This window comes from Homo sapiens, chromosome 2, assembly GCF_000001405.40.
Source record: "Homo sapiens chromosome 2, GRCh38.p14 Primary Assembly".
Lineage (NCBI taxonomy): Eukaryota > Metazoa > Chordata > Mammalia > Primates > Hominidae > Homo > Homo sapiens.
This window is the reverse complement of record NC_000002.12, coordinates 139,468,806-139,478,339: the sequence shown is the minus strand read 5'-3', so window position 1 is coordinate 139,478,339 and position 9,534 is coordinate 139,468,806. Positions and strand designations below refer to the sequence as shown.

At 36.9% G+C, this 9,534-nt stretch overlaps 1 long non-coding RNA gene across 2 annotated transcripts in view; it reads right to left on the bottom strand.

Moving 5' to 3' along the window:
• Positions 1-578: 578 nt before the first annotated feature.
• Positions 579-9,534, bottom strand: part of LOC105373645 (uncharacterized) — a 66,805-nt gene continuing 57,849 nt past the window's right edge. The window contains exons 2-3 of one of the 2 annotated variants that reach the window (XR_923378.3): positions 8,486-8,565; positions 579-3,771 (exon numbers count right to left, since the gene is read on the bottom strand). This is a non-coding gene — a long non-coding RNA (uncharacterized LOC105373645). Of the gene's footprint in view, positions 8,566-9,534 lie in introns of both variants that reach the window. The other variant, XR_007088681.1, reaches the window with a different exon arrangement.

Below are 9,534 nucleotides of genomic sequence, written 5' to 3'. Positions count from 1 at the left end.
CTCAGATAGCACTATCCAACTTTATGACTTCCAGACACTTTTTTATTGTTTTTCCCCACAGGAAACGTTATACATATCAAAACAAATACTCTGCCTTCCACTGTTAACCAGGAAAAGTGGAGATTTACAACAGTTGTCTAAACAATTGTTTCTTAATTAGTTACCTGCTTTGTGTAATTTAGCTTTGAGCTTACTTTTTACTTGAGAAAGAATGTTCTGTGCAGTCTTTTCTTGGTTTTCTACAAAAAAGCAAGAAGCTAGATAAATCAAAAAATGTTCGGTAGGTGATGTGCTCAGCACGATTGGTGAACATTTACTGTGGATCCTTAAGTGTATAAGACACAGAATTCACTCTGGAGAATTAATCTGAATATAATCCTTTTGTCTAAATATATCTGGAATCTACTTGCTTTCCACTGTTTCTAATGTCACCTACTCTGCTGGGCCGGTTTAATTACCTGCTTGTGTAACTGGAGTTGAGCTTAGGTTCTTGGCCTTGCTGACTCCGAAGAATGGAATAGTGGGCCACGGTCCCGCAGTGAGTGTTACAGCTCAAAGAAATTCACAGGCCAGAAGAGTGTGCAGCAGCGCAGTTTATTGAGCAAACCAAAAGTAAAGCTTCCACGTGGTGGAAGGGGACCCGGAAGAGGGTGCCGTTGCTAGTCTGACTTATATTCCCATGTTGTTCCCTCCCATATTCTCCCTTTGTCCATTCAGAAGAGTCTGTTTTTCAATCCTCCTCTTGATTGGGTATTTTTGAATCCTCTATTTGATTGGTTAGGAGCTGAATCCTGGCCGTCGTGTTCTGGTTTGTCCTATAGGGCAGTGAGGACCTGTTTTTCTTCTTTCTGTGGAGGGAAAGTCTCTATATTGGAAAGTTCCTGCCCAACCCAGGAAGTTTCTTCCATTTATGTCCCTCATTTGGACAACTGCTATAGCCTGCTAACTGGTTTCCTCATCAATTTCTGTTCTCTTGCAATCGATTATGCAATTATCCCAGTGTCCTTATTACTATACTATAGTAATTCTTAAGATAAAGGGTACAATCCTCAACCTGCACTCTAAGTCCTTATAGGATCCAGTTCTGGCTTCCTTCTCTGGCTTCATATTGATGCCTTTTTCCCTTCCTTTAGGAAGTTCTGCCATAGTGGCCTTTTTTCAGAGACACGTCATTTCCAAGTCCTTTCTCAGTGCAGTGATCACTCCTTTGCTCTTCTTTATACTTAGAACCTTCTCCTCACTCTACCCCTACCACCTTGGTCAGCTCCTACTTATTTTTCAACGTTCAGCCTCTCACATGCTTAGAGGATCCTTCTCTATCTTGTCGTAAAACGTTGGGCCACCCTATTATTTGCTTTAGTAATGGGCCCTGCTGCAATCCAGACAACTAAAAACAAGTTAGTTAACAAAACAGCAACAATTTACACATTCATATGAGGGTTACCCAATACAAAAGTGTTTTTTTTTTTTAAATCAACTTCCAGAAATTAGTTGAGATGATACATAAGCAATAGCTTTAAACATCTAAAACTGACTCTCATGATTTTGGATGAAAATGTTTCCAAACTAAATTACATCTTCATGTATTTTTAAATAAATCATATTGAACAAAATAATTGCTTCGGTGACATGGGGCTGTTGTGATGAATATGAACGATGTGTGTGAGAGCCAACTGGACCTGCTGCTGGAACCTCATGCTTATTAACCCTCCTGAATCAAGTTTTTCTCTATACCGTCAATGATTCCAGTGGAAAGGCCACTGTTTGAGGTAAAAAGGTAGAACTGAGCTCAATCTAGTAAATTATTCTTTCTTGATTTCCTACTAGGTTACTATTGAAAGATGACTTTCCATGCACCTACATGGTGAGGGCCTTTCTTTGAAGAGCAGTCTTACAGATAACGTATGCCTCCAGAGAGATATGAAGACAAACCTTCCCAGAACTATCTAAGGATAAATAATCGTAATATCCTCTTTTTCTCCTTCCTGAAGATATTTGCTTCTATACAAGGGTAATATGTTTTTTCTGTCTCTCTCACTCTTTCTCTGTCTCTCGTAACAAGAAAGGTAGATGTGCCACCAGCCCCACAGAAAGTCAGTCTCCTATTGTCACGGTTCCTGTCCTGTGATGTAACCCTCTACACACACAGGTAACACTTGGCCTTCATCATATTGCCCTGTGGGAACTGGGGTGCTAGGAACTGATGCAAGATGCTGCTCTGCCTGATCTTTTTGCTTTAAAAATTATCTATTTCTCTCATCCAGTGATTTTGTGTTCTTCTGTCACAGTTACTGACTTAAAAATAAATTATTTCAATTCCCTAAAGGTGAAAAGAGTAAAAAGACAAGAGAGACATATAATGTACTCTGGGACAACTTCTCTTTCTGGAAGTTAAGAAATGGGAAAAAAAGTGTTTGCCCTTTTCTAACAATGATGACCAGGATACAGATAAGAGGAACAGCAACATAGTACTTCTCGTTATAAATGCTTACAATAATCTCTTTACAAAGAAACTTACTGTTATCTCACTTAACCCCCAGCAATTTCATGGAAGAAGTACTTTTATCACCCCTACATTTTAAAAAAGAAGAAATTAAAGATTAGAAAGGTTAAAAGACTTCCTCCAAGTCATGATAATATGCGTAGAAATTGGAATAAATGCCCAGGTCTGCTTGACAAAGAATCGATGCTCTCTTTTGCTAAGTAATAATGAAAGCACCATAAGGAGTGAGGTTGTATCATTTGCTGACTGCTAAATTTTTAGTGCCTACCATAGTACCAGAACCTCAAAATACCTTGCCTCTTCATAGGGCAGCTCTCAGCATGGCAGCTTGCTTTCCTCAGATCCAGCACACGAGAGGGCGAGAAAGGGTTCTCAACCTGAAACCTTGTTGGGATCTAGTCTTGGAAGTGACATATCATTTTTGATGAATTACAATTGTTAGAAGCAAGTCTCTAGGTCCAGCCCACCCTTAGAGGGATGATTACACAAGGCGTGAATACAAGGAAGCAGGGATCCTTGGCAGCCATTTCAGAAGCTACCTACAGCACAGGGTAAGATCTCTCCTTTCAATTGCTGGCAGGACGCTGGCTCTAACTGCAAAACCATGAGAGCCATGGTTCCTGGTTTATCCTGCGGTGCTCTGCTAGAGAGAGGCACTGGCTTCACCTATTACCTCTGGATAGTTCTCTACTCTTTTAATACACTTAGAAGGCCTTGATTTTACTGTTTTAAGTGTTCTGTTTTCTGTAGCTATTCCTGTTGGTACCCTGAAAAACAACTGCTAAGAAGAAAAAAAGAAATGAGAATGAATGTACAAGAATCCTTGTATTCATTTTAGCTAAATTATCCTCCCATATGACTAATATTTCTGAGTCACTTAAAAACTTAAGGATATTCAATGATTAACCAATAGCACTTGCTGCAAGCCATAATTTTTTAATATATATTTTATGGCAATTGATCCACGAAAGAGCTACATATATTGCTATTGAGTGTGTGCACATTTACATGGGTGCTTGTGTATAAAATAAGCTTATGACAGTGATCTACATGAAATTACACCACAAATGTTGCCCAGTTGATGATCTCCATCTTGGTTCTTCACTGGAAAATAGAAGTTTCAGCTTGATTTTGTTTTTTAAGCACTTCATTGTTAAGAATAAACATTTCATAATGAATGGTGATATATATTTAGGACTCGTGGCACATGGTTTGTTTTGATCTTTATCTTGCTTTTTTTTGTACCCAGTAATGAAGCTGTTCTTTACCTAAGAAAAATAACCAAAGATAAAATAAAATAAAATAAAATAAAAAGTTAGAATGCACTCAATGGGAGAACTGTATTTTAGCTTTGTTGTTCAAGTTTTCTTGTTTCTTTACTTGCTTGTTTTTAAACGAGAGCACAGAGCACACACCTTATACAACCTGAAAATGGACAATTCTGGGCACCCATTTGTTTGGTTTTGAATAAATTACCAGAATCTAAGGGTATACCCTAAAAAAATTGAAGTAGTTGGGAGAATTTCTTAATTAACACAGGCCTCTAATATATGTTCAGCAATGGGAAAACCTGTCAATCAGCTTGAGTCCCTAGTCAATCATGAGCAAAGCTCTTCAGAAGGAAGGTGGTCATAGAAGTCAGACTGGCCCAACAGTAGCCAGCCCCTCTTTTCAAAAGAAAACGAAATAGAATTTGGAGTTGTTATTCAGGAAGTTTGGATGTCTAAACGGCTGCATAACCAATTATTTTTTCTCTCTTTTCCCCCAGTGATTCCTGGGCTATTTTCCAAATATGGGATACTTCTAAAGTATTTAAGATTTAATTATCCTAAGCAACTATCTTTCCTATGAATGCCAGTGACTTTAAGAGGAAATAGGGTTTATAAAAATTTCATTTTCATTTATTTCCAGAGACTAATCTGATAATTAGGATAAAGTGCTAACAATCTCAAAATACAGAAGGATGCAAATTTTTCAATGCAATTATTCTATATTAACTAACCACTTATTCTATATAAATTATTATGCTTGGCATAGATATGAGAAAAATAAAATACCCACTTTTAAGAAGTTCACAGCCCTAATGGGGCAAGAAATACATACGTATAACTCTACTGCAAGAAACTTCTATTCTTCTGGAAAAATTCACGTGGAAAGTTTCTACTTCTACCATAGATCTAAATTCCAAATTCAGACATATGAAAAACATGACTTAAAAACACATTTAGTCTTTAACAAATTTTTTCATTAAACTTATGTGATTCTGAAATTTAAGACTCTTCATGTATTTTCCATAAACGTGCCTTTCCAAACTGTATCCCTTAGAATCAATAGAGCTCAGAGGAAACTTCCACGGGATCATAAATAGAACAAGAAAGGGGAATATGGAAAGGAGTGGCAGATGATTGACCAGGGCTCTAGAGTCAGTCTCTCTAGATGGCAGGTTGGCCAATTATGTCTTGTTCCCAAATCCCACCATGTGTTTTTGTGAATAAAGTTTTACAGGAACACAGTTATAACTACTTACTTATGTATTGTCTGTGGCCACTTTATGATTCAACAGGAGATTTTTGTTGCAGCAGTTGTGACAGAGATGAGTTGTGACAGAGATGAGTTGTGACAGAGATCATAAAATGGGAAAAGTCTAAAATGTTTACTACCCCTTTCTAGGAAAAGTTTGCCCACACTTGATCTATATTTAATTTGAATCAGATTTGGTGATCTTATCTGTTTCACATATGAGATTAAAATATACAAGAAGAAGAAAAAAAATGAGAAAAAAACTAAACTGTCTTTTCTCCCATAATCCAGGGGAGTAGTAGCAATTGCCTTAGAGGTCAAAGACTCTTATTCCAGAAAATATCGCTTCTATTCAGTTTCATTGAATTAAAAGTGATAAGTAAAAGTTGTACATATTTAAGGGGTACAACGTGATGTTTTGGTATACACATATATTGTGAAAAGATTGCCACAATCAAGCAAGTTACTATATCCATCACATCACAGTTACCTTGTATGTGGGTGTGATAAGACCATTTAAGATCTACTCTCTTAGTGAGTTCCAAATACACAATACAGTATTATTAACTATAGTCCTCATGCTGTGTATTAGAACTCCAAAATTTATTCCCCATACATAGCTGAAACTTCTTACCCTTTAATGAACATTTTCCTGTTTCCTGACTCCTCAGCTCCTGACAACCACCATTGTACTCTCTACTTCAATGAGTTCTGCTTTTTAGATTCCACATATAAGAGAAATCATGCAGTATTTGTCTTTCTGTGCATAGCTTATTTCACCTCCAGGTTCATCCACGTTGTTGCAAATGGCAGAATTTCTGTCTTTTTTAAGGTTGAATAATAATCCACTGTATATATACACCATATTTTCTCCATCCATTCATCCATTAATGGAGATTTAGCTTGATTTTATATCTTGGCCATAGTAAATAATGCTGCAAGGAACATGGAGTGCAGATGTCTCTTCAACATACTGATTTTATTTCCTTTGGATATATACCCAGAAATGAGATTTCAAGATCATGTGGTAGTTCTTTTTTTAATCTTTTGAGGAATTTCTATGTTTTTTCCTAATGACTGTACAAATTTACATTTTTACCAACAATGTAAAAAGTTTCCTTTCTTTCTATTCTCACTAACACTTACCTTTCACCTTTTGATAATAAACATTCTAATAGATGTGAAGAAATCTCTCTGATGTTTTTATTTGCATTTCCCTGATAGTGATATGGAGGAACATTCTATACTTTATTTGTTGAGAATTTTTATCATTAAAAAATTGGATTTTTTGGACTGCTTTTTCTGCCTCAGTTGAGATGTTCATTTAATTTTTATTCTTGATTCTGTTAATGTGGTGTATCACATTTATTCATTTGCATATGTTGAATCATTGTTGCATCCCAGGGATAAATCTCACTTGATCATGGTACATGATTCTTCTAATACACTGTTGAATTTGGTTTGGAGAAAATATCTTAATAAGCCTTTTGGTCAAAAAGCAAAGTTCTTTGGGCCTGATATAGATAAGAGCTTTATACCAAATATGCAAATTATACCGTATTATAATATAAGAAACATGCTCAATTTCCTCCTGCTATACCTTTGAAACAAAATGCTGTCAGAATGGTGTTAAGAGTGACCTTGGTGTGCACAAGAAGCAGAAGAGAGAATTAATGGAAGGGCGGACATGGGGAGTTTGCTCTGCAACATGGTATGAAGTGAAATCTCAGAAGACGACCAGTAAGAATGTTCTTGTGGTGGAGATGGTCGATGAATTTTAGAATTCAGGGTATTATATTATGATTTGCTTTATTCTTTTTGCTAAAAGTATCCCAACACCACTTCCATAATCTGTAAAACTTTAGTAATAACGTGATACTAATAGCCATGTTTATGTTACAGGGAAAGCAGAGAAAGAGCTGCTCTAACTTGGGTCCTTCTACGGGAATGGAGATCATGTTTCAGAGATGCTGAAACAATGCTTATGAGCTAGATAACTGCAGAAAAGCAGGCTGCCAATACTCAGGAGGTACATTCAGGCAATTCTGCTTTCCCTCCAGGATAGAGAGGAAGGAGATGATTGATGAGAACTAAAGTAGGGAATAGATTCCACTATTATATGAGATAAGGTTTAAGCCTTTCCTTTCCTTTTATTTTTTTTGTGGGAGACAGGGAGAAGGGAGTGACAGGAATTTGGATTATAAATGTGAGAGACTGAATATACCAATGGACCATGGCCAGACCATATATAAAAATAAAACTCTGACCTATAACTGGCAGCAACCTGCCTAGGATCCCAATCAGGAAGCCAGCCTGCCGTAAGTCAGACTTGTGGAAAGCCAGATTGCCATCTCGAGTAACAATCTAGAAGCAAAAAATTCTGTAACAATCAGCTCTGAATAGTCGGAACTTAATAAATTACAACTTTTCTAATTTTGGTTCCCATGTCCAACTTAGGACCAATCAGAGAATGTATGTATCCCTTAGCCATTCCATAGGATGTCCCACTTCTAGTTAGCCTGTAGCATTCCCCATGCCAAAAGCCTTTGATCAGGGCATAATTGAAACCTTCTCTTTCTCCACTAATTAAAACTTTTCCACTCCTCTGCCTGCCTTTGAGTCTCTGCCAAAATGCAAGGGACAAAGGCTAACTCCCTTGCTATAGCAAGCTTTGAATAAAAGCTTTTGTTTTCTAATTTGGTTGGTCTTTGTTTATTTCCACAAATGTTAAGATTTTTCTTAAGATATAGATTGAGATTTGTGTCCCCTTTCAAAAAAAAGTGGAAGCCATTTTATAATCCAACATTTTTATTATATAGATGAGAAACTTGATTTTGGAGAATATCATTGACTTGACATTAGACCAATGATTCACAACCTCCTGCACATTAGAATCAGTTGGGGATTTTGAAAATATCTGATGCTCAAGTCCCTACCCCTAGAAAGACTGGGGTAAAGCCAAGTATAAAGATATATATTAAAAGCTTCCTAGAAAATTCTAATAAGCCATAAGAATCTAGATTCTCTGTCTTACAAGACGGTAAAAGTCAGATGCATGTGCAGAAAGCTGAACTCTTCACCTCACTGTTTTCCATTATCCTCTGACATCTGAAACCTTTCATCATCTCAGTGGAGAAAATGATAGGTAATCCAAAGAAATACAGTAACATTCCTCCTGGGTAGAATTTAAATACCAAGCAGCTCCACCTGTCTAACAAATAAAACAAAGGAACACAAAAATGACCTCTAGGTAGTCAAAATAGTGTCATTTATTCATAGAGGACTCCCTCAAGCCTTCACTCAGAAAATAGGTATTCTTATTTTACACATACCTCTGATATGTTTGGAAATCCAGGTTTCAGATTTGCAAGTTTTAGAAGTGCAATGCTTCATGCCCTGCCCATTTTTATGATTGCCCTGAAAAATGATACTCAAGAACAATGGAGAAGCTGGGAAACTTACAAAATCCAGGATGTGTATAACTTCTTATGCTATACATCTCAGTAGATCCTGGGATCACAAAACAACCAGAGATCATATATCTGGGGAAAGAACACAAATAATTAAAACACAAATCTGTTGTTTAGCTAAAAACATTTATTCCCAATTATTCAGAGAAGTTGATATTTCAAATGGCACATTTCTCTAAACTTTTGCACAGCAGAAATGTTTTGAAATTTACCAATATTGTGTTTTAAATAAATGAGGAAAACTGTATCAGCTTTTACTTCCAAAAATGCTTACCCAGTGAGGTATATTTTGCAAACACCAAAATATCAGTCAAAGCTATGAACGATGCTCCATTTTTAATGTATCTGCTTCAGCACTTGCTGCTTTTTCAAAATATTTTTCTCTTAGAATTTTATTCAAAATGAATTCTTGGCTGGGTGCGGTGGCTCATGCCTGTTATCCCAGCACTTTGGGAGGCCAAGGTGGGTGGATCACTTGAGGTCAGGAGCTCAAGACCAGCCTGGCCCACATGGTGAAAAACCCATCTCTACTAAAAATACAAAAACTAGCTGGGAGTGGTGGCAGGCGCCTGTAATCCCAGCTACTCGGGAGGCTGAAGCAGGAGAATCACTTGAACCTGGGAAGCGGAGGTTGCAGTGAGCCAAGATTGCACCATTGCACTCCAGCCTGGGTGACAGAGCAAGACTCTGTCTCAAAAAATAAAAATAAAATTAAAAATGAATTATTGTAATTTACAGCAAGTGAAAGAGTCATTGGTTATTATATTCCTACTCCCATTGTTTGTTTAAATAAAATCCTCCTAGCTAAGCCACAAGTGAAGTTAACACTCAGTATGGAGAAAAACGTCCTCTATTGACCCTTGGGTCTCTGTCAGTTCTAATCTTTACTGCTTGTAGCCTAAACTAATAAACCCTTGCCCTTGAAAACCTGCTTGAAGGGTGATCATGTGAATGACACGAAGGCAAACACAGACAATATGTATATTCATTCAATATTTAATGTTCCTTTCCTGCATACACTTTAAAGTGAACATTTTGCAT